General features: G+C 39.6%; 1 long non-coding RNA gene across 1 annotated transcript in view; it reads left to right on the forward strand.

The window, feature by feature from the left end:
* Positions 1-13502, forward strand: part of SEMA6A-AS2 (SEMA6A antisense RNA 2) — a 36783-nt gene extending 23281 nt beyond the window's left edge. Inside the window, exon 3 of the long non-coding RNA NR_147170.1 lies at positions 11402-13502. This is a non-coding gene — a long non-coding RNA (SEMA6A antisense RNA 2). The remainder of the gene's footprint in view (positions 1-11401) is intronic.
* The last annotated feature ends 589 nt before the right edge of the window (positions 13503-14091 follow it).

Raw genomic sequence — 14091 nt, forward strand, 5'->3', positions numbered from 1 at the left:
CAGGTGTGCGTATACTGGATTCAGAGATAGAAAATTTGAGCCTCAGGGTAATTAACTACCTTCATAGATCACACAGCTACAAGGGGTGGCGGAACCAGGATTTAAATCCATGGCTGTCTAACCACAGAGATGGTGTGATATCCTCTTCAGACCACTACTCCAAACATGCTAAAGTGGCTAATTCAGCTCAAGGTTGGCATGGAGTACACTGCCTAAGAAATGCATCTGACATCAATAGAAAAGATCCGCAGTTGAGGGCTTGTAGCAGGCTCCTGCCTCAACTTTCTTTCCGTTTTTCACCTCCAAGACAGAGTCTTTCTCTGTCACCCAGGCTGCCAGGCTGGAGTGGCTCAACCTTGGTTCACTGCAGCCTCTGCCTCCTGGGTTCAAGTGATTATCCTGCCTCCGCATCCCAAGTAGCTGGAGTTACAGATGCGTGCCAACATGCCTGGCTAATATTTTTGTGTTTTTAATAGAGATGGGGTTTCACCATGCTGACCAGGCTGGTCTTGAACTCCTGACCTCTGGTGATCCACCTACCTGGGTCTCCCAAAGTGCTGGGATTACAGGTGTGAGCCACAGTGCCTGGCCTTTCTTTCTATATAGAGTCTGCAACCTGAGAGTCTTTCAAAGTAGAATGAAATGATCTGTGTATTTTCATAGTGTCTTATACTCATGTGGTGGCTAGATATTTTGAGGAAAGAAATCCTGAAGAGAGACAAAAAAGATATTTAGAGAATAAAACACTAGATGATGGCAGAAGAAAGGTCATCACAAGTCATTATAGATGGAGTTCTTATTTGGAAACATTGAGGAGAAGTTGAGAATGCCCAGCTCTTAGTCTAATTGGTGGTTTTGAGAAGCTTCCAGCCATGCACCTCTTTTCCCTCTTCCTCTGTCTACAGCTTGATCTCATCACAAATAATATCTATTTTGAGTTTTAAATACAAATTTTAATTGAGTGACTTGGAACACAGTGATACCTACATAACATGTGTGGAAGAGTTTGAACACAATGTTGATGTTGTGTTGAGAAAAAAAAAATCAAAAAAGTAAGTTGAAGGGTGCTGTTGGGTGTCTCCCACAATGCTAGGGTTTCCCATGCTTCCCAGCCTTTCCTGAATATATACCCACCGCAGCCCCCCATCCCCTCACCCCTACCCATCTTGCTTGGATAGCTCCTACTTCCTGCTTCCTCCAAAACAAACTAGATCATTCACTGTGCTTCCCACCACTCCTAAGCCAGGCACACTGTCCAGTTGATCTGTATCACATCATATTACTATAGTGGCTGTTTCATTTGTGAGATTCTTAAAAGCAAGGCCTGTACCTTTTACTCGGGAATCCTTATTTCTAAGCATATTGCCTACAGCATGGAATAATGAGTGAATGAAGCAGATTGTTTAATTAGATTCACTAGGATTCATGTGAGGTGGCCAGACAGTCACATGGTTCACAGCTGAAGAAAGTTACAGACAGTTCATCTTTTTATTCTTTGAAGGTCATTAATGGTTTAAAGAAAATGATGATTTTCCAAGTGCACAGAACCTCTGAATGTAGTTAAATAAACATACTGTTACACTGGAAACAGAAATGTCAACTCAGATCCACTTTACTAATTGGGCCTATAACTCATTTAAGGTCGATTTCTGGTACCAATTAAAATCAATTTTAAAATTTCCTTTTCTCTATTCCTTTTTCATATGGCAACCACCTTTTGGTTTACATATCAAGAGTTTAAATATTGACCTTAATTTTTCTGAGAGTTGATTTTTTTTTTACAGCTTTGATCACAACTAGATTGACTTCTTCAGTCACATAATTTGGGGAGATTTGTCAAGGTATGCAATCCATGTATGGACACTGAACTACTGGTAATTACCCTATGGGTAGGACCTTTCACTTGAGGATGTTGTCTGAACAGTAACATTGCTCAGAACAATTCTGAACTTATATACAGAGGACATTTTCATATGGATCTAATAAAAAGCCTTCTTGAAATATTGTATTTTCATTATTATCAACCTAGACCATTGCTTCGTCACAGAAATAGGTCAAATTCCACAATCCCACCACTGCTGCTACTGCTACTACTACTATTGCTACCACCACTATGATTACCCACTACCTCTCTTACTCCACGATGACTACTATACCTATACACACACTCACACATACGTGAACACACTCAATTCCACAAGCACCCAAATTATCTTGCAGTGGGGTCTGGTTTTAATAAGTATTAATTTATGTATGTTTTCAGTCATTCATTCAACAACGATCCACTGAGTGTCTACTCTCTCCGGGTAACTTTTACCTATGAGAGATGAACGAAGCAGAGTCTCCATCCTCATGAAGTGTAAATCCTGTTGCAAACAATAGACAAGCAGACAAACAGATGAGAAAGCAATGCAATTTCCAGTAGTGGGAAATGCTATGAAGACAAATAAAGCAGAGTGCTGGAGTCAGAAGTAGCCTGGTGGAGACTGGGGAAGGCAGGTTATTTTTAAGTTTCCTATTGCTGCCATAAGAAATTACCATATACTTGATGGCTTAAAATAATGCAAATTTATTATCCTACTGTTCTGGAAGTCAAAAGTTCAAAATGGGTCTCACTGGGCTAAAATAAAAATGTCAGCAAGACTACATTCTTTCTGGGGGCTCTAGGGGAAAAACTGTTTCCCCGCTTTTTTCAGCTTCTAGAAGTCACCTGTATTCTTTGGCTCAGTGCCCTTTCTCTGTCTTCAGAGTCAGCAGCCTAGCATCTTCAAATCTCTCACTTACTCTCACCCTCTCATGAGGACCCTTATGATTATGTTAGGCCCATCCCAATTATACAGGACAATCTTCCCATCTCAATATTCTTAATCATACCTGCAAGGCCTCTTTTGCCATGTAAGGTAACATATTCACAAGTTTCGGGGATTAGGATGTGGACATCTATCAGGGCTGCTAGTCTCCTTCCTATGGGGTGATCAGGGAAGGTCTCTTTGAGGGTTTCACCTTACAGCAGAGACCTACATGACCTGAGTGAGCCACTGGAGGACCTGGTGGGAGGCTCTTCCAGGAAAGAGCAAGTGTAGAAGTCCTTTGGCACATATGAAGTGCCAAGCAGAGAAAAGGCCCATGTGGCTGGTACAGAGTGGGGAATGGGGATGGGAAAGGGGAGGGTCTGGGGTCCCAGAGGAAAGCTGGGGCTGCAGATGTGGGCTTTGCAGGTCCTCCTAAAATGCAATTGGGGATTTCATTCTGAGTGGAATAGGAAGCTTACTGGAAGATTCTTAGAGCGGACAGGCATGATCTCATATATTTATAGAACTCAATGAACTGGTAGAAATTCCTTTCTTAGCAAAGGGTTTAGGAGCATATTGAACTGCTTCCCAGGCTCTTTGGTGAGTCACTCAGTGAAGAGGGCGATGTGTCCTAAACCAGAAAGGAAGAGTGAGATGTCATGAGAGTCCTCTGCCCTCCCTCCTCTCCCTCCTCTGAGGGGCTGAAATCCTGTGTTGACGGGTCTGGCTGGGTGTTAAGAATGTCAGGTGGGAAGTAGAGTGGAAAGTGATAACTTCTTAATACATACTTTAGTAGAGGAGCTGAGATGATCTTGGCTCTTTTTCTTTATTTTTATTTTTTCCAACATCAGCAAAGAACAAAAAGATATCTAAATGTTGGGAATATAAGCTTTCTGGCACAGACCTGAGGAAGCATGTAGTCTATAAAATAGCTTCTTATATATAATTAATCTAATTAAAAATTACTGTCATCCCTTTCTATCCCCCAAGATATTAAGATAAGTTAGCTATCCAGAAATATCTTTATAATATTTTTGTAATGGCATACTTGGTAATGTAATTTTACCTGCAAATTAAATTGGTCTGGCATGATTTTCCAGTCATACAACCATACTGGTTGTTATTTTATCATCACTACTTACATTCTTCAAGGATTTTTGTATTAAGTATTTCCATGATCTTGGCTGGCACTAAAATTAAACTGATGAATTTAATGTTATAAGCATAACTTTTTTCTCTTTAATTATAAAGGATTTTAGGAAAATGGTGTGTTTGTAGTGATCTTTAACTAAATGGGAAACTAAATGTTTGTATGAACATAACATAGCTCCCTACCTCTGGAGATCATACAATAATTGTTTTAAAATCAAGATACTTTCTATTTTCTTTTTGAAGCTCTTTTTTTTTTTAAGCATGAAGTCAGCAGCTTAGGACCAAAGACAATAAAATTCACAGTTTTGCAGCTGCTATTCTTGTTTATAGGATCTGGGGCTATAGCTAAACCTACAGTTTTGTTTGGAGAAGAAAGAGCCCTCCCTGGGAATGTGCAAAAGACAACCTGACAAGAGCATCACAGATTAAATGCTGTGTTCACAGCAAGACTTCATAAAGGCAGAGCATCCATCAAGAATTTAGGGGAGCAAGGAGAGATGATTGCATTTATCTTGGCAAGGTCCATGTTATTACAGCACAAGACTGTAGCCCAGTGTGGACCATAACCATGCCTCCTGAAATAGCCCAAGTCAAGGAAAAGCATAACTGCCATAACTGTAAATAAGTGGTCCAGAGAAGTCTGCATTATATCACAGGGTTTTTACATACAATTGTAACATCAAACAGATTGTTAAAAATCAATTGAAATTAATAAAAAAATGACTAGATAAATAAAGCTGTCTCTCTGTGACCTTTCCCTTGAATTCTGCCATGGACGTGGTGTGGTAAATTGTACACAAAGCAGGCTCCCAGCAATTAAGAAGCCATTTATGCCTTATAAAGCCTTGAACATTGGGTTTTAATTAAGAATTTCAATTATTGTAAAGCAAATCATTTTTCTTCCTTGGATAAAAGGGATTGAAAAGAAGACACTCTTAAGAAGTTTTGACAGTTAAGATTGTGCTAGAGGAACTAGAGAAAGTTAAGAAGAAAAACATAGGAAAGAAAAGAGGTGAGAAATAGAGGATAAAATAGAAGAAAACCGTCAATGTACTGAATAGGAAGAAACAGAAGCAGCAAGTTTATCTTAGAAAGGTGAAAGGGAGAGTGTTTTCTCACATGTTAATATTTAGAACATGGCTAATGTTTGCCTGTTCTTATTAGCTGAAATAAGCTGAATGCCAAATCTAGATGAAAAGTGAAAAATGTAATCCGTTATCCAGATGTTTCCAAATATCTGGATTTTTGGCATCAAATAGTTAAAACATCTCAATGATCAACTGAACTTGTTGTTTTGTGTTTATACATGTTGACATTATTAGAAAGCCAAACTTTGCCTGGTGGCTGTCCACACAAAATAGGAGTCCAACTCTGAACCTGTTTAACGTATAGTTACACTTTACGGCAGATTCTTCAAGCATGCTTTTGCTTGGGCTCTGGTGCAGTGCTATGCCACCACTATCTCTGTATATTAGAAGGAGACTTAATGTTAGGCACATTGTCATCACCCTGAAAAGAGGTGACAGTGTTTTGAAAGATATTGCAAAATACTTGGAAAGGATAAGAATGCTTGTCTTTCAACAGCTTGATCTTCACTAGTGTTCAAGTATTTTAAAAATCATTTTAATTTGGAAAAGATTGAAGAACATACTCTGAAACTAGTGAGAAAACAAAACAAAAAAACACACTAAAACAGGGGTCTTCAAGTGCTTTCCATAAAAAGCCAAATAGAAAATGTTTTGGGCTTTATGGGCCATCTCATCTCTGACACTACCTCTCAACTCTGCCACTATCCCATGAAAGCAGCCCCAGACAATACATACATGAATGAGCATAGCTGTGTGCCAATAAAACTTTACTTATGGACAATAACATTTGCATTTCATAGAACTTTCATGCATCACAAGATAGCCTTCTTTAGATTTTTGTCCAACCATTTAAAATATAAAAATGACTCTTAGCTCTTGCACTATGCAAAAACAGGCAGTAGGCAGCATTTGGCATGTGAGTCACACTTTGCCAACCTCTACCCTAAAACATGAGAGATTTAGATAAATAATAATAATGCAATAATAATAGTAAACATTTGTAACATGTTTAAAATGTGCCAGGACTATACTAAACACTCTACATGTTCTATAGCAATTATGTCCTCAAAATAGCCCCGTCAGACAGATACTGTTATTTTCTTCAATATACAAAGAAGAAATGAAAATGCAGATTTCAAGTAACAGAGCCACTGTATCCAGTTATGTGGATTGCATACTGTGCATGGGTGCCCATTCAAGGGATTGAGTCAAAAATGATCCCTCCAGTCTCCTTGGACTTCATCTGCACAAAGGGGTACCTGTCTCTAATTTGCACCAAGGTCCTAGGGCTAGTCTTTTAAGTAACTTGTCCAAGGCCACATTTATCAAGTGTCAGGGTTGGGATTTGAAGCGAGGACTTTCAATCCAAAGACTCTGCTAAGCTGCTGAGGCAATTTCCTGCCTACGTTTTGAATGTATTTTATGTTCTAGAGGTAGTTTTTGCACAAATCTTGTTTGTTTCTTCATAAGTTCTCTCTTAGTTACCTAGGGCTAATAGATTCAGTCACTCTAAGGTGACTTTGTTCCTGAAATTAGACATGTTTGTCCTCATAGTTGCTTCATGCAACAATGTGTCAAAGTATCAGAAGACATAAACAGCACTAGCACCAAACATTATAAAAATGAAAATATTGTGACATTGCAAACACTTGTTTCCTCTTTACTTCTGTAATTCTTTCTCAACCTAGTCAAGACAACGTATTTTCAAAGGGGCTAAGGTGAACAGCAGCTTAAAATAGCAAACTGAAATATATTGTACATTTTTGCCTGTAATATTACTTAAATAAACTGTCATCCCCAGTGTGATCAGCTGATTGTGAGCTCAGCTAAACAGCATGCTAAAGTCATAATTCCAACTTGCCAAAGTGAATTCCATTCTTCAAAACATTTTCTTCCACTATTTCCTGTACACATTTCCTTCTCCATCTATCCCTAATGCAGGCCTTCACCTCCCTTTTTTCCTAGATACTAAAATGGCCTCCCCTATACTAAGCTTAGTTCGAATTTCACAAGCTATCAATAATCTATCATAGTGACTTTATGTTAACCTTAGAATGCTGTTTTAAAAATCATTTCACAGTCCAGTTTGAGGCTCTCCACTGGGGTCCTGTTTATGGTGTCCATATAAATGTCTGAGCCAGGCACTCAAGACCCTCTAAGGGTGGTCCAGCTTTATTTATCTAGTTGTTTACTATTCCCTCAGTTCAGTCCATCGAATGCATTTCCTTCTTATCCTCACTCTTGAATACATATGCACACGCCCATCTCTGAGTCCTTGCTCACGCTGTCCATGTTTGGAGAGCCCTGCTTCTTCCCCTGTGCATCTGTACTTTCACACCCTCTGCCGAGGTGCCATGCCACATTCTACCTTCTCCAGAGAGTTTCACTGGGTTCCCAGCTCAGGATCTTATCTCTTTCTACCACAGGTTCTATTATTCAGCTACTTTCTGTTTGGGATGTTCTCAGATTTGCTTTCCCTCTGTATTCTGTAGGCCAGAAGATTCTAAACTCTTACGGCAGGATTGCTGCATTCTCCTGCAGCAGCCATGAGATCCACATGCCAAACTCTGATCTGCAAACAATGCTTCATCTTTTGCTTTTTGTATCTCAACCTAAGATCTGATTATGATTTTCCCATTCTGTGGGGCCTGTGAAAAAACAAGCCAACAAGCAAAACACCACTAAATTTTAGCTTGTCTTGGGATAATCTAACCTCTCCCCTGGGGCTGTTCTGGCATCTTCCACAGAGCCAAGTGGTGAGGAGGTTGGAGACACTGGGTCCTCTGTTACGGCACACAGGGTAGGCCTGAGAGCTTGTCATCTCTGTCCTCAGTTTTAATGATCTTCTGCTGTTCCCATGTCATGCTGTGAGCCCAGGAATCTTTGTGAAGGCTGCTTATATTTCTGTCAATGTGCACAATGTAGCCATCCCTCTCCAGGCTGGCAGGCTTCCTAGTGGGCTGCTTAATGCGGGACACAATTCCTCTCTGCTCTTGAAACTGGTCCCAGACCTCCGCCTCTTCCACCCTTCCCCAAGCCCAGGGAACTGGAGTTTGGAGGAACTTCTCCATTCCTGTTTCTTTAGAATGTGAATAGAGAATCTCTTTCCCCAAGGGTTTAGGCTTTTATAAAACAAAGACACAAAAGCTTGTGGTTTGCCCTGTTTCCCACTCTTTCCTGTGTCTCTTCCAATTGAGTAGGGATCTGATCTTGTGCTAGAATGGGGGTGAGGTGGGAGAGATTTACTGGAAAGGGAAGAAAAGATGAGATACAGAGAAGAAGTAAAATAAATGAGTATTTAAAAATAGTAACCATCTGTATGCGTTTTTTTTATTTCCTACTTTATCTTATACACAACATTGTTGGCAATGCAGAAGGAGCTTAATAAAGACTTTCTCCATTAACTCGTAGAGCTCAGTCTTTGCATTTTCAATGAAAATGATGAGAACTTCCATTTCTGCCACCAGAATTTTTAAGGCATTCTTTTATGTTTTGTTTTCTTTAATTTTACAGCTGCATTAGGTTTAACCAACATTGTTACAATTTTAGCAAAAAGGCATCCTTTTTTTTAAATAGATGCTTTTTTCATCCTAATATAACATCCTTTTCTGTAGAAAGGCATGAGGAAGAAATGTAGAATCTGTTTACAAAAGGGAACTTTGGCTCTCAATGAAATCACCAGGTAAGTAGGTGGAGGTGAAGTCTGAGCAAGCAACTGGCAGAAGAACCCCCTCTGCTTACCTAATTCCTTGGCATAATTAATTCATTCACAAACAATGCCTATGTGGGTTCTGTCAGGTACATCCCTGTCTGAACACCTTGTTTCATCCAGATGAATCCTGGGTATTTCTGGTGGATTTTAAAGGATGCTACAAACAAAGCATACTCAGGGAACATTCAGTATCAGTAGATGGATACTTCTACATCAGCCTTAAAGGACCCAAATGGCAAAAGCAGCAGAGGGTAGTGGTGCCAGCACTGTAGCCAGACCTTGTGGCTTGAATTGCAGGTCTTATTAGCTGTGGGTCCTATGGCATGGGCACCTCTGGTCCCTCTGTTTTCTTCTTTGTAAACAAGTGGGGATAAATATACTCGTATTGCAAGACTATTAGGAAGAGCAAATGAGAAAATACGTCCTCTGCCTTGAACACTGCTGGACACATGGCAAATGTAATGTAGCATTAGCTATTATTATCATCAAATCTTTGTTCTCTCCTTTTTGTCTGCCATTCCCTTCCTGATTACACCTCTTTACCCAACAAAACCTCTGAAAAAAACACATCTAAAATTTTACCATTTACCATTCTGTTCAACATAATTGGAACTGCAAATGACTTCATATAACCTGTCATTTTAGGACACTTGGAATCATGTCCTGCTTAAAGCCATTGCTTTGAAATGGACAACTGCATTCTGATTTTTGCATTCCATCCAGGTCTTTATGCAACTGTATTTCCAGTCAGTCTTTAGTTATGTTAGTTTAAGCATGTTAGATATAAGGAATCAGAAGCCCAACAAAAAGTAGCTTCAATATAAAATAAAAGCACATATAGTGGTCTATATATCTAGAAGTCTACAAGTAAGAAAAAACTCTGGATTGTAAAATTCAGTGACTCAACAATGTCATTGAGGTTTCTTTCCATTTTTCCTCTGCCTACCACAATGGCAGATTGCCTCTGAGGCTAGCCTTACCTAGGTGGTAATATGACTTAGCCTTACCTCACAGTGGTAATTTGACTGCTGACATTTTCTCAAGATACTTGCTCTTACATATGTCCTTGGAGAGAACCAGAGAGATGCCCATTTCCAGAAGCTTTCAGAAAAGAGAAAGGATACTTCTCAGAGGTTACAGAAAATTTCTTCTCCAGTCTTATTGGCCCACATATTGTGTCATCCACGCTTGAAGCAATCACTGTAGCCAGGGGAGGGGAGCACACTGAGTAGGTTATGCCTGAACTACATACCCCACCCTCAGTGGGAACAGGGGACAATCAGTCTCCTTCAATGGGCAAGGACTCATGGGAGGTGTGGCTACCCAAAAAAAAAACCAGGACAAGTATCCAAAGAAGGGGGAGTGGACCCTATGGTGGTGTATTAGTTCATTCTTGCATTACTATAAAAAAAAAACTTGAAACTGGGTAATTTATACAGAAAAGAGGTTTAACTGGCTCATGGTTCTACAGGCTGTACAAGAAGCATGATGCTGGCATCTGCTCAGCTTCTGGGGAAGCCTCAGGAAGCTTACAATCATGGGGAAAGCAAAGCGGGAGCATGCACATCACATGACCAGAGTAGGAGCAAGAGAGCAAGGAGGAAAGTGCTACACGCTAAATAGCCAGATCTCATGAGAACTCATTCACTATGATGAGAACAGCACCAAGAGGATGGTGCTAAACCATTCATAAGAAAACCATCCCTTGGCTGGGTGCAGTGGCTCATGCCTGTAATTCCAGCACTTTGGCTGAGGTAGACGGATCACTTGAGGTCAGGAGGTTGAGACCAACCAGGCCAACATGATGAAACCCTGTCTCTACTTAAAAAATACAGAAATTACCTGGGCATGGTGGAAGGCACCTGTAATCCCAGCTACTTGGGAGGATGAGGCAGGAGAATTGTTTGAACCCAGGAGGTGGAGGTTGCTGTGAGCCAAGATCGCGCCACTGCACTCCAGTCTGGGTGACAGAGTGAGACTCCATTTCAAAAAAAGAAAGAAAGAAAGAAAGAAAATCACCCCCATGATACAATCACTTCCAACCAGGCCCCACTTCCAACACTAGAGACTACAATTCCACATGAGATTTGGGTGGGGACACAGATCCAAACCATATCAGGAGGCCATTTCAATATCAATTCTAATAACCATGCCACCTGACTAAAATCATTCTTCTGCTCTCTGCTAAAAATCTGATTTCACCTCTGCTAAAAATCTGATTTCACCTCATCATACTCAACACAGGACTGTTTCTATTTTTGTTTGCTTATTTGTTTTGTTTTGTATTAACAGCAAATATCATGACCCATACATGTCTTGAACACACGGAATTGTAACTGGCCACAGCATTGAGTCAAAAGACTCACTTGGCAAATTCATAGTGGAAATGACTATAAAGAGTAAAGTGCACACAAAGGCCTATTCATATATTTTAAAAGTAATTCTATATGGTGCCCTGCTTTTAAAAGTGGATTTTAGTGGAATTAGATTTGAACAGCTTGAACATATGTTTAGATACATTCAATTTTAGTTTCTAGCTAATTTGATGAACTAGCAGTGAATAGTATATGTCAAGGTGAACAGGTGCTTCGGCCTCTGGCCTACCAGCCCCAGTATGATAATCTGCTGTTCTGCTGTTGTCGATCTGTTCCCACCAGGTCTCACATGAAGGAAGATGTTCACCCTGAGGACAAGGCCCCTGCATGCATTCTCAGGACGTTCATGTTTTCTTTACCCATTCCCTTCCATTCAAATGTAAGTAAATAAGAGACAAATTTTTTTATAGGTATGAATTTGAATCAGCTCTAATTTATAAAAAGAGAAAGGTTGTTTTCAAACTTTAGTTTTTGCATTAGATAGGTTTGGCTAGTTATGCTGCAACAAGAAACAACTCTTCGGGGCTTGCCACAGCAACATTTTGTTTTTCACTCAATGTGAACTTATAGCGGAGGGGATGCTCTGCTAATCAAGACCACCCAGGCACCCAGCTGGCGGAAACACCATCTCAAAGCAGCTCACAGGGTCACAGAGCTGAGCGAAGGTGACATCACCAATCACAAACTCATTCTTTATGTTTTTGCCCTGGAATGACATATCATTTTTGTTCTCATTTCATGACCAAGATAAGTCACATAGGCCATGCCATGTGGGGACAAGGAAAAGCAATCTTAACATATGCTTTGAGAAGGAAAAATGGAGTATTTGTGAGTGTTCTAATTACCACTACAGATTTAAAAAGAGAAAAATCATTAGTAACAATGAGTTAGGATATACATCACTGTTCTACTTGTTAATTGCACCTCCTGCTAGCCAATAAAAGCTTAGTTGTGCCATCTCTTAAGCTGAGGAGGTTCTTCCTGGACCATATATTCTCCATGTTTACTACACGGAAAGGGGGCTTTTTGGATATTTTGCTGATGTTTACATATTGTTAAATTCTAGTTTAGCAAAATTTAACATTGTACATATATACCTATATATTGTAGCATATTGTATAGATAAGCACAGGGCCACTCTATAATAGGTTCAAAACCAAAAGATAAAAATAGTTCTCCCATAACACAATGAATAACCAGACTGAAAATTCCACTTAAATGGTTACCTAATATTAGTCTGTATAGCATCGTCTTCTTTCTAGAAATACCTACATATGTATATTTATAATGCTTAGGAAAAACCTGGAAGTAAATTCATTAAAATGCTAATTATATCTGGTTATAATAGTAAATAGTATATTAATTTTTATTTTACTTTTCTTTTATCCGCATTTTCTAAATTTTCAATGATGAATGTCCTAAATAATAAAATTATTATCTCATTGCATTTGTGGTCAGGTGAAATAACTGAAAGCAACTGTGATAGGCAGGATTCTGAGATAGCCCCAAGATCCCAAGATTCCTCCCCACAGTGTACCTTGTATATAAGGAACACACCTTGTATAATCCTCTCCTATTGAGTGTGGGCGGCACTGTGAATACCGTGGGATATTGCTCCTGTCACTATGTTATGTTATATGACAAAAGGGATTTTGTGGATGTAATTCAGGTCCAAAATAAGTTGAGTTTGAGTTAATCAAAAGAGATATTGCCTTGGGTGGGCCTGAGCTAATACAGAGACAAGCAGCAGCAGAGGCCATCCTCTACTGACCGTGAGGAAGTAAGCTGCCCAGTTGGTAGAGGAGGGGACCATGGTTCAGCATGAGAAGGTGGCATCTGGGAGGCCTGACTGACAGCCAGCAAGAAAACTGGAACCTCAGGAATATAGCTGCAAGGAAATGAATTCTACCAACAACTGGCGAGCTTGGAAGAGGGCTCTTCCTCTCAGGTGAGCTAGCAGCCCTAACCTGCTACTTGATTTTAGCCTGGCAAAGTCTTGAGCAGAGACCCCAGCTAACCCATGCCTGGACTGCTAACCCGACAGGATCAATAGATAATGAATTTGTGTTGTGTTAAGTCACTAAGTTTGTGGCCAGTTTGTTACACAGTAAAAACAAAACAAAACAAAACAAAATACACAGCAATGTCAACAACTGTCAGAAGATTGTTCTGCATAAAGTCAAGAAAAAGTGAGGATAAACACATATTTAAAAAAAATTTTTTTTCAAATGGAAATCAAAATTGCAGTTACCTTTGTGGGAAGTTTGTTATTGGGAAGGGGCAGGCGGGAGCCTGCTGGAAATGTTCTACATCTTGATCCAGGTAGTGATTGGTGCAGATATTAAAATTCATCGAGATGTATACTTAATGACCTGTGTGCCTGTACTTACATCCCAATAAAAAATAACGAACTAAAGCCAGTGAGCTTGACATCAATCATTACGAACATTCTCTTAGGTAAGTCTATGTGTCTTGAGCATGATAGGCACTCAAGAAATACTTTTCTTTATTATAGTAAAATACACATAACATACACTTTGCTATTTTAATCATTTTAAGTGTACAATTCAGTGACATTAAGTACACTGGCATTGTTGTGCAACCAGCACCACTATTTATCTCCAGAGCTTTTTCGCCATTCCAAACTGAAAGAAATATACTTTATTGTTGAGACACCTGGCTCTGTTATTTTTTTTTTTCTATGCAAACAAGTCAAGGAACAATACCAGATGATTATCCAGGCACTTCTCATATTATGCTTGTTTTTGTGTGAAGTTAACATGAGCACTGCTATGCTTCTAGGTTTTTGTTAAGTAAAAATTCTTGGAAGATGGCCATTTATTTTACCCAATTTTATCAGCTTAGTTTTTTATAATCCCTTGCCAGCCCCCTCATCCATCACTTCCTCGCTCAAACCATATTCTCCATTATAACAAATTACTTGTGATTCTCAGAACACACTAAGACCATTT

This window comes from Homo sapiens, chromosome 5 (genome assembly GCF_000001405.40).
Source record: "Homo sapiens chromosome 5, GRCh38.p14 Primary Assembly".
NCBI classification, from domain to species: Eukaryota; Metazoa; Chordata; class Mammalia; order Primates; family Hominidae; genus Homo; species Homo sapiens.